This window comes from Homo sapiens, chromosome 3 (assembly GCF_000001405.40).
Source record: "Homo sapiens chromosome 3, GRCh38.p14 Primary Assembly".
NCBI lineage: Eukaryota > Metazoa > Chordata > Mammalia > Primates > Hominidae > Homo > Homo sapiens.
In genome coordinates, this window is record NC_000003.12 from 102,160,446 (window position 1) to 102,181,173 (window position 20,728).

Here is a 20,728-nt window from a genome sequence, read left to right on the forward strand (position 1 = left end):
AAAATATTCAAGATTTACAATAGCAATAAAAACTAAAAAGTGTCTAGGAAGACATTTCTATAAAGAGCATTATGAAACATACATGAAAGATACAAAACAATATATGAAGAAACACATACAGTATTTTTTGGAGGAAAGATGATAAAGATATCAACTTTCTCCACAAATAATCTATATATTGAGTAAAATGCCAATCAGAATCCACCACTGACAAAATTGATAATAAATTTTATATGAAGAATGTTGAAAATAAAATTTGGAAAGAATAATAATGAGGAATGCAGTTATTTATTGCTGTCTAACAAAATGCTTCTGAATTTAGTGGCTTAAATCAACAACAAAAAATTTGCTCATGAATCCGTAAATTTGGTAGGACTTAGTTAGAACAATTGTCTTTTCTCCTGGTGGCATGAGCTGGAGTGGGCCTAGAGGACTCACTTTTGAGACAGACACTCACATAGTGGTGAGTTGGTGCTGCTGACTGTTATCATCCCCAAAGGAAACCTGTATTCATTAAGCAGCCATTTCTCTTCTGCTCCACTTCAGTCTTGGACAACCACTAATCTGATTTTGTCACGATGGATTTACCTATCTTGGGTATTTCTTATATATGGAATCTTATAATGTGGAAAAAAAGAGGAAGACAGTAGATATGCATGTAGTAGACATGAACATATTTTTCCTATATATTATTAAATAAAAATGAAAATGGCAAAATTGTCATATTACATGTATTATCTAATCACACTTCGCACATATGTATATATAACTAAAAAGTGTGGAAAAATATAAGCCAAAGTTTTAGAGCAGTTATTTCAGGGGCTGGTATTACCATCCCAAAAAAACTAAACATGTATTTATATTGTTAAATACAAATTTAAAAATTAAACATTAACTTCATAGTCAAAAAAGTAAAGATATTTTCATTAAATAATATTTCAATAGGAAGAAATGAACTATTTAAAACATTGGTGAGCAAATCCTAATGAAATAAAGGCTTTAGGCCAGGATCATCAATGGCTGCTAGCAAAAAAGACAACCCGATATTCCATGCCTTCTACTGCCAGTACACATCACCACTTACAAAATATTCTAGCCAAAAATATCAAACCTTAATCAGATTAAGACTTTATCTCTCAAAAAATAGAGCTATATCTCAAATTTCAAAGAGGCAGAGACTCAGGAAATTTGATTTTGAACTTAGCCAACTCCTGTTACCTCCCCAGGCCTCAATGTCCTTGTTCTTGCAAAAGCAAGAGGGATGAACTCTCAAAAAAAAAATAAAAATAAAAAACCCGTAGGCCCTCCTATGACTCAACCACTTGATTCACATTTTCACACGGAAATTTTGATGTTTCAATATTCTCTATTGGCTTAGTACTTTCATGTGTTCTGTCTTTATTCATAACTTACGGAAAGTATGGGGAATGAGAAACATGTTCCAAGGCAAAACGGGGAAGCCTTCAGCAAAATCCAGAATGTGATAAACTCTAGGGGTCAAATGACCTGGTTCCTTCAAGAAATAAGAGGAGGAGGCAGGGAATAGAATCCTGTTATATATATTGTGCCAGATGATTCTTTGTTGTTGGGGGCTGTCCTGGTGTTTTGGAGCTTTTAGCAGCATCCCGGCCCCTATGCACTACCTGCCATTGAAACTCTCCCCCTTTCTCCTCAACCAAGTTATGACAACGAAAAACATCTCCAGACATTGCTAAATGTCTTCTGGGAACAAAATTGCCCCAGTTGAGAACTAAGACTATAGATTTTTTTTTTTTAAAAAAGGAGATTTAAATGACGTAGCAAAAAATGCATCATGCCCACTAATTTGTATAAACCAACTGTAAGGAAGAATTATGAGATAATTGGAATTAGATGTATTTGAAAAGAGACCTATTCCTTTAGTGATATACAATGAATGGTATATTCTTGGTTAAAATGATATGCTGTCTTGTATTGCTTCAAAATAATACCTTTGAGGTTGGTGAGTAAATGGGTAGCTGTATAGATAACATGGGATTGACTATGTGTTGATAATAACTGAAACTAAGTGATGAGTACATAAGGTGGGTTCATCATGCTGCTCTCTAACTTTTGCATGTGTTTGAAATTTTCCATAACAAAATGTCTTAAAAATAATATTCAGTAAGTACCAGAATATTGTAATATTCAGTGACAACCAGAAGGAATAGCTAAAAAGAGATGAAAGTGTAGCTTCCGGGAGGGGTAGGGAGAGGAGAGGGGACTGCTTCTTTTTAAAACAAACCTTTTAGTACTACTTCACTATGAGGACTATGTGCATGGATTACTTCAAAGAACAACAAAAAAATAATTAAAATCCCCAAATAAGCAAACAAAACATTGGAGAGATGCCATTGATATGAATATTTTTCTTGTAAAAATGGAAGCTTAGTTATATAAAATTTCTACATATAGAAAGTAAGTTAAATGACACCATGAGGAAGCAACCAGCTGAGCCCAGATGTGGAACACTGGACACAGCACTTGACTTTCTTCTGAGGCTGGCCTGGCTATCTTCTTTTTCTTCTTTACCTTTTTTATTGAGCATGTTAAAGAGCCAGGGCCCTCTGAGGAAGAAGGATTATTTCTTGTCTTTCTTGTTGTATGTGGAAAGCAGGCAAGGGAGGGCTGTCCCCTGAGGCACAGCAGCCTCTTTCTAACCCAGTGAATGAACCACAGGGCAAACTAGAGTTTGTCTGCTTACCCAATCATCTCTTACTTAGGGAGTAAGAAGCCTTTTTGTTTGTTTTTCATATCTCTTGGTCTAAGCTGCATTTTCTAGTTCAGTTTTGATCAAAGCATTATACTGGGGGAGAAGGAAACATTTGTCAAGCTATTACTAAGGGGCTTATATTATCTCTTATTTTGCTATTAACTGTTGTTTGTGTGATACTTTGGCAGGGAGCCCAGAATGAACAGAGTAAATGGATTCTGATACCAAAACCCTATCCTGAACTCTAACAACTTTCACAGTTACAAGAAAAACAAACATATTTCTTTTGACCTACTATTCATAAACGTCATGTCAGATGCATAAATATTATGCCTCTGTGGTAACAATGAGGGGTATTCTGGCATTCCTAGGAGACAAATCAGCATAGTGGCCCAAGGCCAATGTGGGTGAACAGGCCACCAGGATAATGTAATTTGAAAGGTGCTCTAAAGGCACTTGCATTCTAAGGTTTGTTCACCAAGGTTCTAGGCTACCATGGTGCCTAAAGCCACCACTTTGAGAGTTAACCCTTTCTGTAAATGCATAATGTCTCCAGAAGCTTTCAGCTAAAATACCAATGTGTTATTTTGGAGAGAGAACACATGAACTCTGAGCATTCACAAATTGCCTAAGCATGAACCAGTTTATCAAGTCATTTAAGTTGAGAGAAAGGTCCTCAAGGAAGGAATTACAAAATTGTGCTTTTTATGGGACGTCGTGAGAAGGCTCAGGGAAGTTATGAGGGTAAGATTAGTGGAAGGAAGAAAAATCTGAAGACACTTGGGAAGGCGTGCCCAGGGTAGGTAGAATCCTGGCCAGAGACGGGATAGCAGAAGGACTCAGAGTCTGGAGCAACTCTGTCCATTAGCACTTCCTGCAATGATGAAAATGTTCTATAGCTGGGCTGTTCAATATAGTAGTTATTAGCCACATGTGACTATAGAGGACTTGAAATGTGGCTGGTGTGACTGAGGAACTGGAACTTTAAATTTTATTTAATTTTAATTAATATAAATTAAAATGTCAATAGCCAAATGTGGCTAATGGCTCCATTATTGGATAGTACAGGTCTAGATGAAGGATATGGGGATGGGGGGTGGGGGAAAATCATAGATAGGCAATGTGGAATAGAATTAAAGATACATTTTGCTTAATTCACACTTTATATGGTACCACTTTTCATTTCTAGGCAATAGATTTACAAATTACAGGTTATATTATATTTAGCAAATTAACCTATATTATGAAATAGCTGTACAGATTAAATAGACGGATGAGAGTATAGCCATATTAATTAGATTTGCCATGTCCTACATGATCTTATTTTACTCATATGCATGCTGTCCTATGAAGGAAAAGAAAACATTGACTCAAAAGTGTTAAAAAGGGTATCCTTTGTTTAATGTTCAAGAAAGGCTGCAATTACTTTTCATAATATACAATTGCAAGTTTTGTTATTTTTTCTTTCTGAATAATGATTATTTTTCTCCATTGCAGAGCAAGGCAAGGGTCACAGTCACATTCACAGAACCTCATTAGGGTGGATCCACAGGACATACTTCCCACTGCTCGCAGAAGTATTACCACCCTTTGGAATAATCAATCAATCAAACCAACTCAACAATCTTTCTTTTAATGCTAGTGGCACATATTGACATAAAAATAAAATTTTGCTTCCTGGTGGAACATGAATAATAAAAGTATTTTTAAAGTTGTTTTAATCAAGGCTTCACTATTTAGAAAGTATTAATAAACTGGCACCAGAAAATTTCCCAAAACCACTAGCTAGTTGTTAGTGGCCACAGAACCTAGAGGAGAATAAAAATAATCTCTAGGCCCGGCCCGGTGGCTCACGCCTGTAATCTCAGCACTTTGGAAGGCCAAGGCGGGCGGATCACAGGTCAGGATATCGAGACCATCCTGGCTAACACGGTGAAACCCCGTCTCTACTAAAAATACAAAAAATTAGCAGGCGTGGTGGCGGGCGCCTGTAGTCCCAGCTACTTGGGAGGCTGAGGCAGGAGAATGGCGTGAACCAGGGAGGCGGAGCTTGCAGTGAGCCGAGATCGCGCCACTGCCCTCCAGCCTGGATGACAGAGCGAGACTCCGTCTCAAAAAAAAAAAAAAAAAAAAAAAAAAAAAATCTCTAAACACAACTGAAGCCAGAGAAATCTTTTTGTTTTTGTTCTGGAGGAGACAGCATCCCCTTTGACATATTTGGAAGGTTCTCCTAATTAATGTGGCAGTACATAGGTGTCATTGCTGAGTCAGATGGTTACTCTAGATGTAGAATTTTGTCAAATCTTCATTTCATGCCATGTGAAAATCCAAATGCCACCACTTCAAGATTTTCTGTTACCAGAGTCCTTACATTCTTGTGGTCACCTATGACTCTAAAATGCTCTTTCCTCTGAATTAATTGGCTTGAATCATGAATCTATTGCCGTCTGTAGTTTGTGTTTTTGCTCTGCCAAACCAACTATGAACTTCCTTTCCACAGATTTCTGCCATCACCAAGTGTGTGCATCAGAATTGCATATTTTATTTATGTATAAAGTATAACCTAGGACTTGGCAGGGGTGGAGGATCCTGTTTCATGACGGTAAAATGGGGGGAGACCCACGACCTGATAATACCCATTAGGGAGGGGGGTAGAAAATACTTATATTTAAGTATTAGTTAAAATTTTTTGTTTGTTTTTTGGAGCTGCTCTATATGATATTTTTTAAAAATTTCACTTTCCAATATAGTTTATTATTAGTGTATGGAAATACCATTGATATTTAAATGTTGACCTTGTAGGTTGAGGTCTTGGTAAATTTACTTATTAGTTTTAAGACTGTACCCCCAGCTCCACTTTTTAAGAAAAGTTCCTTCAGATTTTCTATGTAATCATTTCATTTGCGAATAGAAACAGTTTTTTTTTTTTTTTTGGTTTCTAATTTGTATGCCTTTATTCTTTTTCCTTGCTTATTGCACTGGCTAGAACATACAGTACAGTACTAAATATGAGTGGTGAGAGTGGAAACCCTTGGCTTGTATCTGATCTTAGAAGAAAAGCATTCAGTCTCCACCATTAAGTATGATGTGAAAATTTTATAGATTCACTCTATCAGGTTAAGGAAGTTCCCTTCTATTCCTAGTTTGCTGAGACTTTTATCATGAATGACTTTTGAATTTTATCAAATGCATTGATATAATCATGTGTTTTTTTCTTCTTTAGCTTGTTAATATCGTGTATTACATTGGTTGATTTTCAAATATTCAATCAACCTTGCACTTTTGGGATAAACCCCACTTGGTAGTAGTGTACTACTCTTTTTGTATATTGCTGGTTTGATTTAGTAATATTTTATATATTGACCTATAATTTTCTTTTCTCATATTGTCTTTGCCTGGTTCGAGTATCAGGGTAAAGCAGGCCTTACAGGATGAGTGGAGAAGTGTTCTCTGAATTTTTTGGAAGATATTTATAGAATTAATGTTATTCTTCTTTAAATCTTTGGTTGCATTCATCTGTGAAATCATCTGGGTTTGGAGCTTCATTTTAGGGAAGTTTATAAAGTATAAAATAAATTTCTTTATTAGATATGGGAAAATCCAAATTATATATTTCATATTAGGTGAGTTGTGGTAGCTCATGTTATTTGAGAAATTGGCCCATTCCATTCAAGTTGTCAAATTTATGTTTGTAGTATTTTCTTATTATCCTTTTGGTATCTGCAGAGTCTTTAGTAATATCTGCTATTTTGTCCTTGTTATGGACAATTTGTATCTTCTTTCTTTTTTTGTGTCAACTTGGTTAGAGGTTTATCAATTTTATTGTTGTTTTCAACAAATCAATATTTGGTTTTGTTAATTTTCTATATTATTTTTCTGTTTTCAATTTTACTGGTTTCTACTCCTATTTTTATTATTTCCTTTATTCTGCTTGCTTTGGATATACTTTGGTCTTCATTTTCTAGTTTAACATAGATACTTAAATAGTTCATTTGAGAAATTTCTTTTCTTCTAGCATAAGTATTGAATGCTATCAATCTCTCTTTAATCACCACCTTAACTACATCTGACAAATTTTGATATGTTGAATTTTCATTGTCATTCAGTTCATAAGATTTTCCAATTTCCTTTATGACTTCCTTTTTGATCTATGAATTATTTAGTAAAAGGTAAAAGATTTATATGATTTGAAGAGAAACCAGAGCATATCTATGAATTATTTAGAATTGTGTTGTTTAATTACAAGGTATTTGGAGATTTCCTAGTTATCTTCCTGTTATTGAATTCTAGTTTAATTGCGCTGTGATCAGAGAACACATCTTGTATTGTTCTATTTTTTAAAAATAAATGAATAATAAATTTGTTAAGGTTTTTGTTGACTTAAGATATGGTCTGCCTTGGTATATATTTATGTGCACTTGAGTAGAATGTATATTTTATCTGTTGGTGGGATGTTTTATAAATGTTAACCAGCTCATTAGTTAATAGTGAGTTCTGTTTTTCCATATTGCTGTTAATTTTTATCTACTTGTTCTATCTACTACTGAGTGAGAGTGTTGAAATCTCCAATGGCAAATTTCATTCTATCAATTTTTGTCTCATGTATTTTGAGGCTCTGTTATTGGGTAATAATACATGGTTAAGATTGTCAAGTCTCTTGATGAGTTCATCCTTTTATCATTAAGTAGTGTCCCCTACTATCTCTGAAAATCTTTCTTAGCTCAAAGCTTTTTTCCTTCTGAAGATGAATTTGATATATAGCCAATCCTGATTTCTTTTGATTAGTATTTAGGTGTTACATTTTTTTCTATCCTTTTATTTCTACTTTACCTGTATCATTACATTTAAAGTATAGATTGATTGTAGCATATAGTTAGGTCTACTTTTGAACATTCTGAAACCTGCTTTTTAATTGGTGTATTTGCAGCATTTACACTTTTAATTTAATTATTTATATGTTTGGATTTAGGTCTACTACTTTATTTACTTTTTTTTTTTTTTTTTGAGACAGAGTCTCGCTCTGTCACTCAGGCTGGAGTGCAGTGGCGCGATCTCGGCTCACTGCAACCTCCGCCTCCCGGATTCAAGCAATTCTCCTGCCTCAGCCTCACGAATAGCTGGGACTACAGGCACGCGCCACCACGCCCGGCTAATTTTTGTATTTTTAGTAGAGACGGGGTTTCACCATGTTGGTCAGGCTGGTCTCAAACTCCTGATCTCGTGATCCACCCGCCTCGGCCTCCCAAAGTGCTAGGATTACAGGCGTGAGCCACCGCGCCCGGCCTACTTTATTTACTTTTTAAATCTTGGTTTCTTCTCATTTTTGTTCCACCATTTCTACCTTCTTGACTTCTGTTGTGATATTTGCATATGTTTGGATGATGGTGTGTCTAGGCATAAATTCCTTTTAGTTTATACTATTTTGAAGCGCAATGAACTTGAATTCATAAGTTCACATCTTCTTCCAAATTTAGGAAGTTTTTAGCCATTATTTATTCAAAAGTTTTTTCTGCTCTCATTCTTTGTCCTCCTCATTTGCTGTTAATATATCAATGACACGAATGTTAAATCTTTTAGTATGGCCCCACAAGTCTCTGAGACTTTGTTTATTTTTTTAACATCATTTTTCTTTTTGTGTGTATGGCTTAGATAATTTCTAGTAATCTATCTTCAAGTTCACTAAAGCTTTCCTCTGTCACTTTCATTTTGTTATTGAGCTCATCGAGTAGCTTTTTTATTTCGTTGTTATACTATTTTGCTCTAAAATTTTTATTTGCCTCTTTATTATATATTCTGTTTATATGCTGAGACTTTTTATCTTTCTGTTTGTTTCCTGAATGCTTACTTTATTTCTTAGAGCATGGTTATGAGAGCTGCTATTTATAGGCATTATCTAACAATATCAATATATCCAGGTAATTTTGAAATTAACATATACTAATTGCCTTTTACTTTGCAAGATGTTGAAATGTTTCTCACATTCTGTGTATCAAATAATTTTGGATTATATCCTGGATATTTTGAATATTTTGAATACTTCGTTATGTGACTGTAGGTCTTGTTTATTTTCTACTTTTTTTTAACTTTCATTTTAGGTTCAGGGATGCATGTGAAGGTTTGTTATACAGGTAAATTGCATGTCATGGGGGTTTGGTGTACAGATTATTTCATCACCCAGGTAATAAGCATAGTAACCTGTTATGTAGATTTTCTGTCCTCTCCCTCCTCCCACCCTCCACTTTCAAGTAGCCACAAAAAGAATAAAATACTGATGAATACAGCTAACCATGGAGTTGAATGGTCTCCACAGTGAGAATTATAGAACACTGCTAAAAAAAATTAGAGATGACACAAACAAATGGGAAATCATTCTGTACTCACGGATGGGAAGAATCAGTATTGTTAAAATGGACATACAGCCAAAGCAATTTATAGGCCTTGTTTAAATCTTATGGAAAATATTTTTTCTTTTAGTTGGACAATTAAACTGGTTATATCCAGGTTCTTAACCACCTTTCTGTAGATGGTGGTTCTATGCCTGTTCTGTTTTCAAAATCTATTAATATGTAGCACTTTTCTTATTTGTCCTATGTGTGCACCATCAGTGGCCAGTTTGGGATCCATTCAGTGATCTATGTTGTAGTTCAGTTCTCAACTGAATCTTGCTGTTTAGGATTAGATCCATTCATTCACAGTTTTAAAGTGAGACTAAAAGTTTGCAGGCAATTTATGAGATCATTTTCTTCAGCTCTGTCCTCTCTGTAATATTCCTGACATTTTCTGATTCCTGGTATCCATCACCCACTACTCTCCATTCCTGTGGCAAGGAACCTAGGGACTTAGTCTCCCCACTCTTAGAACTTGTACATTTCTTAGAACTGCCTCTGCATCTGGGCTAAGTCATGATAGGATAGAGAGAAAAAAAGCAGTGGATTGCCTTGCACATTCTTGGCACCACCAAGAATCAGACCATCTGGCCAGAGAGAAATTTTCCCCTTCTTCTGCTCATTGTTGTCATTACCATCACCACAGCTGTAAGAGTGCCTGGGAGTTGGGGTGATTTGCACAGGTATTAATCTAATTACCTGTTAGAAAAACAAATCAACACACTTCAGAGGAAGATAATAGAATCCAGATCTCTACAATGTGTCATTCTTCATATCTAGTATATAATAACATAGCAGGAAATTAAATTACTGGATGATTAATTGTAATTTGGTTTTAAGTTTGTTAGGCAAAAGGTTGATTTTCAGTTTTATTTGGATGAGTATGTAGAAAGCCCAAGATGTTAACCAAACCCCCGCTGCAGACTCTAGACTCTTCTCTGTAAAGCAGAGCAGCCAAATCTCTGCTAAGTTCTTTTAGCTTTCCAGTTGTTATTTTCCACTGGGACTCTTGGATCCAAACTCTGCCCTTTGACAACTGACACCAACAAACCTGCATCTTTCTGCTTGAATTGTAGGTGAGACATACAGACTGGAAAATATACAAAGTGGAAAAGCCTAATATACCTACATTACACAGTATAATTCCCTCCTGGTATCTATCTTCTTTTGGTCATGCTACAGTGACGTCAACGTGTTGTTTCTTAAATTTTGTCCAGACTTTATGATTGTTATCTATGGAATGGTTTATCTACCATAAGCTACTCTGCAAATATCAGAACCAGAACTGCTAAATATATTTATTCATTCACTTGTCTACCACCTGGATTTATAATATGTAAATATTTTGCCATTTTTTTCATTTTATTTTTGAAAATAAAATCTTATAGAATTGAAGTCTCATTTGTATTATTTTTCATAGCTCATTCTGTCTGCTTCCCCACGGACAACCAATATTTTAAGATTGGTGAAGAGCCTCCCTGCTCATGTTTCTGTACACTTACTGTCCATATGTATCTTTATATAAAATACATTTACAGAAATTATTTTATGCTATATTATTTTGCAACATTTTAATATTTTCCAGATCTTTTTATATTGTAGATCTAATTTATTCATTCAAACTACCAGATTATGATTTTAAAGCTCTTAGTAGTTTTCTCTGTTGCTCTAAGGGTAGAGCCATAATTTATCTTTGGGTCAAGATTGTATTTTTCTTTTGGGCAAAACTCTAATGTCCCCTTCCAGTTATCCATAGGTAAATCCAAAATGCCATTCTATATTGCAAAAGTTAGGAATAAAGAAAAATTCAACTGTTCTATTATAGGAACTCTTGACTCTTGTGGGCAGAGTGGCATCCCTACACATTTTATGATTTCATGTTGATTAAGTAGGGGGAGCAATGAAAGGTAATGGTCCCTTTAGGATGCTTCTGTCTATGGGAAGTAACGTGTTGGCAGTAAGCATCAACATTAAGGAGGATGGAGATCAGTTGAGAGACTTCCAGTGAAGAGATATGACCAATTGTCTTTAGGAGGAGAAATAATTAATTCCATTTTAAGCTTTCTGTCTCTGACTCCCCATTTCCCTTTATAATGCCCCAGTCTTCAGTAAAGTATTACTGGACACTGTGGCCTGGACTTTGGAGAGCTGCAGCAGCAGAGATCTGTGGAGCAGCTGCCTGAATTGACAATGGATATCCAACAACCTACACAGAGTTGTGGAACATGTACATGCAATCATTGAAAACCTTAAAAACACCTGGAGAAGGAGCCCTAAAAAGACTGGATATGAATGTTGTGCAAGTAGAATGGGAGATTTTGATTATTGTATTTGGGGAGTAATGGGAAGAACATTGTAGACTTGTAACATACTTAATAAAAGGACAGAAAAATTGATTCACCCCAAAAGTACAAAACAACCATCTCCAAAATTATTCTCATCATTTAATTTCATTTGACAACTTCAGAATGCTTGACGCAATGCTTCAGTTACAGCAGGCATTTCTACAGTGGAATTTTCTGTACAATTATGAAATTAACAATGCTTCCCTCCCTTAATGAGTTCAAGTTCTGGGTAGAGGAAACACATCCATACTCAATAGACATTCATGGCCAACTGAAGATCCCAAATTGTCTTAAAATATATAGTTCAGTGGGAAGAAAGAAATGCTTAATTTCCAAGTATCCTTTAAATTGGAAAATAACATTTTTTTTTTTACTTAAATGAACTATAAGCACTTTGTTCTGAATTCTACAGGAATTGTTTTCTACTAATTAATCTTTAATGTATATGTTTAGTGCCTGTGTTCACATTTTTCAGGATGCTTCTGAGAGTCCTAGAGCCCTGTGAATTTATTACTAAGAAATAACCAAAACAGCCCTCAAAATAGTGGTTTTTATTTTTATTTTAAATCAAATAAAGTGCTCTTTATTAAATGATTTTTAGAATCATTAGTCTCCTTTTTCTTCAAATGTCCATGGTATTCATGTTAATTGAACCAGGTCACTCTTTCTCAATGTTTCTAAAAATTTTCCTCTTAGAGATGAGATGCATGTTTTTCTCAAATGATAGTATGATTTATACTTACAATTACTCACAGAAAATCTGGCTATAGACTCCATTGCCAGATTGTTTATTAATGAGTAGATTTTGAGAAAAGATATTTTATTACCATTTTTATGTCTTAGGGACCTCATCATTGAAGCTAAACTTCTAATCTTCCTTACAACATAAAGATAATTTTACTTATTGGAAGCTTATGTAACCTAAAATTTAGATTTTGACAACTGTCTTGCAGTTTATAAATATTATAATAAAGAAATCTATACCAGGATGGTTTAAACTCTTTAACTTATAAACAATAACTGTGAGAATTCTTGGTATGCTCTAGATGACATTCCAGTTGTTCTTTTATGTTTGTAGATGTAAGTCAAGGATCCCTAAGTTATTCTAAAGTCATGCCCATTGTTCTTTGAGTCTTGGCTTCTGATAATGTCTTGATTTGCTTGAAGTACAGTTGGTTTGTTTATTAACCTCCTTATTGTTAAGATGATTCAATTAAAAATGTCCCAGTCATTTGACAACTTAATCAAATAACTTCAGACAGAGATAACATTATTATGAAAATAACTCAGGGTAATTAAATGTAGAGGGACTGAGTAGCCCCTTCAGATAAAGTCATCGTGGGAGATCTCTGAATAGAGGACATTTCAGCTGGGATCTAAACGTCAAGCATGAGGTGGTCTCTCAAAGAAAAAATGGAAAGAAAAGCATTCCAGGAGGAAGGAAGCAGAAATATAAAGGCCATCAGGTAGGAATAAGCTTTGTTTGCTTGAGGAATGACAAGGAGGCCAGTGAGATGACTAAGGTGGGAGAAGTCGCCAATGCTATATGAAAAGTGGACACGGCCAGATTACACTCAGCCTTGCAAGCTGCGAGGATTATATTATATTATATTATATTATATTATATTATATTATATTATATTATATTATAATTTTAGAGACGGAGTCTCACTCTGTCGCCCAGGCTGGAGTGCAGCGGCGTGATCTCGGCTCACTGCAACCTCCACCTTCCAGGTTCAAGTGATTCTCCTGCCTCAGTCTCCCAAGTAGCTGGGACTACAGGTGCCTGCCACGATGCCCAGCTAATTTTTGTATCTTTAGTAGAGATGGGATTTCACCATGTTGGCAAGGATGGCCTCGATCTCTTGACCTCGTGATTCGCCCACCTCAGCCTCCCAAAGTGCTAGGATTACAATGTGAGCCACTGCGCCTGGCTGGAGTTCTGATTTTATAAGCATGGAATCACATGTCCAAGATATGGTCGAGTGAAAAAACCATGCTTCAAACAGTCTGAATAGAAAGATCCCCTTAATATAAAATTGTATATTCATTTCCATATGTGTCTGTAGGCACGGAGATACATTGGGGCATATGTTCAGAGAAATGCTAACATTGGAAACATCTGAGGGCTGAACTTCAGGTGACAATTATGTTCCTTTTGTATTTTTCTGTACTGTTTGAATTGTTTACCAAAACAACAAAGCCATATCAAATATGCATACATAAAAAATGAGCCACGGTCCTCTTTGACTAAGATTTAATGTTAAGACAATATTGACATTATTGTGGCTTCCAGACTCACACAAGATAGAAAAAAAATGGATTTATAAAGAAAAGTTTGTTGGATTTTATTAATAAATGTAACAGTAAAATAACCTATGCTTTTTGGGGGAGTTTTCAATGATTATGGAAGATACAAAAAGCACCAAAAAACCTAGAGTGCACAGAACATGAACAATCAAGAAAATTCCCTTATTATGTACCAAAATAGAATTCCCCACATATGATTGGTATTTCCCTCAACTTCTGGAAAGCAAAAAATGAATGGGAGGACATTAAGCTGACAGAAGGCAGAAGGTGGAAAAAGGGTAAATAGTATTCACGTTACACATTAATTCAATTACTCATTCCTTTGACAGAGATTTTAAAATAATCTAAATAAACAAGGGTTGCGTGCAAGAAGTCTATTTGAATTAGATTCTCATGGATGTAAAAACAAAACACGACCACAAAGGGAAGCAGGCAGGGCTGAAAGACAGCACAGAGGCTACTAGCTTCATAACAGAATAGTCAGACTTAGGGTTTCCATATTCTACCAAAAAATAAATGAGAAATCTTCTTTTTGCATCTACTTCTCCCATCAAAACCTTTCCATTGCTTTGTTTTATGTCACCTTGTTTTTACTTGTATATATTCACCTTTTGTTACATCCTCATATTTCTGTGGTATCTATGGAGTCCTGTTTCAGAGGATTCACTTGAACCAGCTTTGATTTGCATGTAACTACCTATTGCCATAGTTCCATGGAAAACCACTAGGAGAGTGTTATTATTCCAAAGCTGGATTACTTCCATAAATAATCTAATGAGAGCTTCATTTTTTTCTGCCTATGAAAGCCAGTTGAGTTCCATTCCATTTATGGAAAAAAGGCTTTTCTATTTCTATTCAATTAAGCAAATGGCTGTCTTTTGGCAAGGAAAGAAGAAAAGCATTAATCATTTCCAGTTCACCATATCAGGATGTTTACTCACAAAAGACAAAGATTCAATTATATCTTTCTTATTATGACCTCCAGGTATTTTTCTCAATGTGACAGTTCTATAACTCTTCAGAAGAGGTTATTTATGGATATATCCTACTTAGAAGAATAGAATGTGGGCAATAGCATAAGAACACTTTGGCATCACTTCAGATAACCTGATGCCTGCATTGGTCCATCATGACTGGAGGCATTCGTTTGTAATAATAAATAAAGTCTGATGGTAGTCCTTGAGGATGCCAGTTGCTTTTTACCCTTTCCCCAGTCACCATCCCTCTAAATGTAGTAGACTGTTGCTAGGATTGGATCTTATCTCTGGCCATATTGAAATCTACCCCCCAACTCTTCAAACTTAGCTCTCTTCTTCTATCATGTAGGATTGCACCTGACCTTTTGCCCACCTGGGTTTCATGGGCTTAGACTTCACTATTAATTCTTGCCCGAGTAGCTGCTGGAGTTGGCTTGGCAACCATTGCCAACTGAGTTCCCTCTTAGGCTCTGTCTCAGCAACAGTGTAAGTAGAACTGAGGCTGGTACCTAGACTATGGTGGGCTGATTCGTAGAGGCTGGTTTGGACTGAATGGAGAAGAGGTAAAACTGTGAGAAAGAGAGTGAAAAACATGAAAATCCATGAGTCAATATGTGAGTATGAAGAAGACAAAAGCCCATGTTTGTGAAGAGCTACACTGCTCACCAGTGACTTTCCACAAATACCTGTCCACCTCAGCATTGAGATGAGATAGAATTTTCTCATCCAATGCTGCAGGTGTTAGCTGAGTATGCCTTTTTCTTAGCCAGCTCTGACTACTAGTTAAAAATACTAAAAGGGGCTGTGTTATTTGAAATTATTGTTTAGCATTTCTATTTGCAGAGCCTATTTTAAGGAGGTTAAATCACTTTTTAATTTAACTAGTTAGGCTCCTATTGGATAGTGATGAGGTACCTTGACTACATTCTGGAACTAGGCATAATCTTCAGTAAACTGATATTAATGTATTTTCTTACTTTTAAATTCTTTTCATAAAAAGTTTCTTTATTTAAACACAAACAATGTAACAAAGCTTTTTTAAAAGAAAATATTTAAAGTAATATATATACTTTTAAATATAAAATTGTATACCTTTGTCATTAATTCATAACTTCTGGTAAACACAGCTTAATTTAACCTTGGCTTTATTCTTAGATTTTGATTGAATGCTTCTTTTATCTTACCCCGGATCATTTCATAAAGTTGTTACATAGACTTCTGGGCTTATGCAAGTTATTTTAAAAGCCATTGTAGTCGCTCAGAACTGGCATCACACATTAACTTCCAAATAAGGGATTTTTTTTGATCTGTCTTCTTTCATAAGTTTCTGTTGAAATCTTTCCTTTATATAACAGAAGAACTGAAAAAGGGAGAAAAACATGAAGGTCATTTTATGCTGATAGCACAAAAACTGGGTTTTTATCTAATCATGTGGAAGTGCTTTTCTCTCTGGTGTTAAATAAATGAGAAATATAAAATTTCCATTGATTTATAATTGAAAGCTGGTAGCTATATATTATTCAAAATTCAAAATATACTACAAGTCGTTGCTTTTTTAAAATATTGTTCTTGAAAATGTATTCTCAAGTTGATGGTGTGAATTCAAACAACGCATATGTAAAAATAGAAAAAGAAACAAAAATGCCTAGACTTCCCATTTGGTGGTTAGAACATATCCTTGACCTCTACCACAAATGGGTGTGTCTATCCATACATCACTGGGCCGTTTCAAAGAGTTTCCAGATTAGTTGGGAAGCTTTGTCACTGAATGTAATAAATAAAGCTCATATTTAGAGTTTAGAGTTTTTCTCTTTGCAAATAGCAAAAAAAAAAAAAAAAAAATTAAAAAAATAAAAATAAAAATATAAATAAAAAAATAAATTAAAAAGAAAAAAAAACACCAAACGAACAACCAAACAACGACCCCCCCCCCTCTTTTTTTTATTCACAGGACGACAAAATCCTCATGTAAGAATCTCAGGAACATAAACATAAAGCTCTGCTCATAGGGGCATAGCCAGTTGTTCCTATTGCCCTTTTACTGAAGTGCTGTCATTGTCTGGGGTAAATACCTGAGGTTTATTGCCTCACGCCAAGGAAATCAAAGACGCAGGCACACGAAGTGAGGTTAAGAGTGGAAGATTAACAGGCGAAAGAAAGAATAGCTCTCTCTGCTGCAGAGAGAGGGGTCCCAGAGAAATGGGTTGCCAGTTCTGTGGTGGAATGCAATGGGTTTTATAGATGAGCTTGAGGAGGCGGTGTCTGTTTTACATAGGGCATAAAAAAATTGGCCAGACCAGGTGTGCTATTTGCATAAGGTGCAAAACACTGGTTAGTACAAGGTGTGCCATTTGTAAAGCATGTGATAAAACTGGCCGCCCCACCCTAACCTTTTATCATGCTGATGGGTTCTTTACCTGGCGGGTGCCATGTTGCCTGGTTCTTTACTGTACATGTGGTGACAGAGAAAATGGAAGATGGCACCTCCATGTTGAACATACGTGGCTTCCAGTTAGCCCTTTTCTATTGGCATGGCTGCCAGCATTTACCCATGCCAGCTTTCAGCTTGCTTATCTATGTCTGCAGCTCAATTTTTCAGGCTGCTCTTTGTTAGAAAAGAAATGATTTTGGGGCTGCTTTTTGTTAAAAGGGAAGCCTTGCCCAGGACTCCTTTACCCTCACTATCTGCCTAAATAATTTCTTTCTATCGGCCGGGTGTGGTGGCTCACGCCTGTAATCCCAGCACTTTGGGAGGCCAAGGCTGGCAGATCACGAGGTCAAGAGATCGAGACAATCCCGGCCAACATGGTAAAACCCCATCTCTACTAAAAATACAAAAATTAGCTGGATGTGGTGGCATGCAACTGTAGTCCCAGCTACTCGGGAGGCTGAGGCAGGAGAATCGCTTGAACCTGGGAGGCAGAGGTTGCAGTGAGCCAAGATCGTGCCACTGCACTCCAGCTTGGCGACAGAGAGAGACTCTGTCTCAAAAAAATAAAAATAAAAAAAATTCTATCTTCTGTGTCAGTTCCTTGTGTTGAATACCTAGCATACTGTATCCCTTTATCCAGTTCTAATTTATATATAACCATATACACTTAAAATTATAAAAAATAAATGTTCCAGCTTCTTTTGAGGAGTCCTCTGGATTTCCTTTTTGTCACACCTCTTAGTTACTAATCACCCTTTTCTCTGCTTTCTTCTCCTTTATCTCCAATCTAGAACCACAGCTGAGAAAAGTTGAGTTGCTTCTCCCCATAGAACCTAGCACTGACTGCTCTAGTATTCTGCATGGTGGAACCTTTGAGAATATCTGGAGACAGGATGCTTGGCATGAAGGGTTGGGATCACCAAAATAGTGGGGTCACTCCAATGGAGTTAATGTCTTATTTCCTTTTCCTGAAAGAAAATAAAAATGTATTTACTTAAAATATTAAAAAGATCATTTATGAGCATTTTTCTTATATGGAATCAGTGGATACAATCAAAATAAAATACAATCAAATCAAGAGGTAATGGTAGGCATGTATTATTCTACGAGTGTGCATATTTAATAAAAATATAAAAAGCAAGCAAACAAAACCCACTCCAAAACTTTAACGTATTTATAGATATTTAATTATTCTTCTCTGTATCATGCTCCTTCTTGTTCCTATTATAAATTACAACAAGGCAAATTGTTGGCTTATGTGTCAGGGTATTTTTACTCTTTGTACTGACAATTTGCATTTCTTTTTCAATACTATGGAGAGGAAATGAGCTCTTGGTATAGTGTCCCAAGGATATGAACAATTCAGGCTAACATGCAGTAATTTTCCTTTCTGACAAATAATAAATGGAAAAGGAAACTGGAGTTGTGACTAAATGTAATGCTTGAATAAACATGTCACTCAGTTCAGGGGTCAGCTCTAGTCATAGTCTTAATTATTATTATCAAAATTGAGTTGTGATTATTGGAGTGGAATTGTTTTAATTTTTATGTCAAGACAGCTAAAACATCACAATCATAGCATCAAATGTCCGTTTGGCAGTTTATGATTATTGTCATTTACCGTATAAATGTACTAAATTATTTTTGAATACATAGCCATGGCTTTTGAGATGGCTAAAGGATACTCACTTTATTCTAATGAGAAAAGGAAAGAATGAAAGTAATTTATCTACTGATTTCTTTCAAGGTTTACAGAAAGTCAGGGCCAGGTCTTAGTAAGTTCGCTGGAGCTTATGAGGAGCCTGCTTCTTTGCCACAGTAATAAATGTTCATTACCTAAAAGCAGAAAGGAAGGCATCTCCTTCTTTATCAGCTTCTTGGTTCCTGGATTTGCTAGCATTAGAGCAGGAAGGAAGCAGCTGCCCAGATTCTAGTCTGAAGGCGTGCTGGAAAAATAGGTCTTTCTTATTTCTTTAAATGAAAGAGAAAGATTCCCTGGTCAGTAGGCAAAAAATTGTAGCTGCCTTTAGACTTATTCACACCAGTAAAGAAAATGGTCCACAAATATCTTCCAGTTTGTTCATGTTTACTCTGTGCGTGTGTGTGTGTGTGTGTGTGTGTGCATGTATGTGTATCTGAGTTTATTTTCATATCATAGTCATCAATATATTTTTGGAAAACTAGTCTTGCAAGATGATTTCTGAAAACTCCTCTGGTCTTACAGCATTTCTCTTCTTGAAGAGTCATAATACCTACTAACATAATAAAGGTACTGGAGAGTCTCAAAGTAAAGAAACACTTGAACTTGATTTGACCCAGAATTTCCCTAGCTTCATTTGACCATGAAGCACTTTTTCTCATAATGATTAATAATATTTCAGTTCTGTAAACATATTTAAGAAATGCTGAATTAGATGATTTTTCCGAAGAAATTCGAATGAACATAATACTCTAATGACAGAGGAATGTAAAAATATAGGCACCTGCCAGTTTCAATGTCTCTGCCGGCTTCTTTAAGCTTAGCTTAGTCAATTCCACTTCCCAAAGCCTAGATCTGCTAAAGTATTATTAGGCCCACAAACCCCGTAAAATTCTTTCTATGCAAGTAGCAGCTGATAAAGGGGCTCGCTAAGGTTTTTTATTTTTATTTTTTAATCTTAACTAGAGTGTTCCTTTTCCTGTAATACGCTGCCAAGCCAGTTCTGTTAGGCGAGTCAATTAAATTACTTCCTGTCTCTTCTATCGTCTTCTACCATCTGATACTCAGTGACGTTGGGACCAAAAAATGTAGTTTTTTCTAAAAACATACGCTCATCCCAGGGAAAAAAATAGCAATGAAGAAAAAATGTTCCTCAGCTATCTGAGGATTCCAGTCCTTGGTGGTACTTGCAAACAGCAACAAGCTACATTTAACAGCACAGATCCGTTTGGTGTCTTACATTACTCTGTGAATAGAAATTTGGGCTATTTTCCTCTAAGACAACAGGAAAAGGTCTGAATTTCTTTGACCTTTGCTTGACGGTGAAAAAAAAAAAAGTAAAGAAAAGCACACAGTTATTAATTAACTTCTGTGAAAGATACTTTATTTGATTAATGGTTCACAGCTAAATTTAAATTAGGGGAGATATGCTGAATGACTACATGTTTACCCAGATTATTACCAGGTATGCTGCCAGGAATTTTATTAACCTGTAGGCTACTTATGATCTCTCTTCCCTCTACCCACTCCACAAACAAACACCAAAGAACTGGTCTACCAGAGTCAGACTGAAATCTTGACTGAGGACACAATGTAAATAACTATTAGTGTGTTTGAAATTAAGACAATGGATATCTTTTCCAGGTCATGGTGCACACATGGATTTTTAACTTTCTTAACAGAGCACATAACACAACAATGATTTGGAGTTGTCTGGATTAAATCAGATGGCAAAACCTGGTGATCAACATAATAAAAATTCCCTTTCCCCCTTCTTTGTCATTTCAGACAAAACTCTTGTGTGGATATCAGCTAGAAGAGGGTAACTACTGTCTTAAAAGAGTATTTC

The 20,728-nt window shown here is 35.7% G+C and overlaps 1 long non-coding RNA gene across 1 annotated transcript; it reads left to right on the forward strand.

Annotated features, from left to right (window-relative positions):
* The first annotated feature begins 3,259 nt into the window (after window positions 1–3,259).
* LOC101929411 (uncharacterized) lies at window positions 3,260–4,426 on the forward strand. Its single transcript, NR_135549.1, has 2 exons — window positions 3,260–3,530; window positions 4,229–4,426. It is a non-coding gene; the product is annotated as an uncharacterized LOC101929411 (long non-coding RNA).
* Window positions 4,427–20,728: the final 16,302 nt, after the last annotated feature.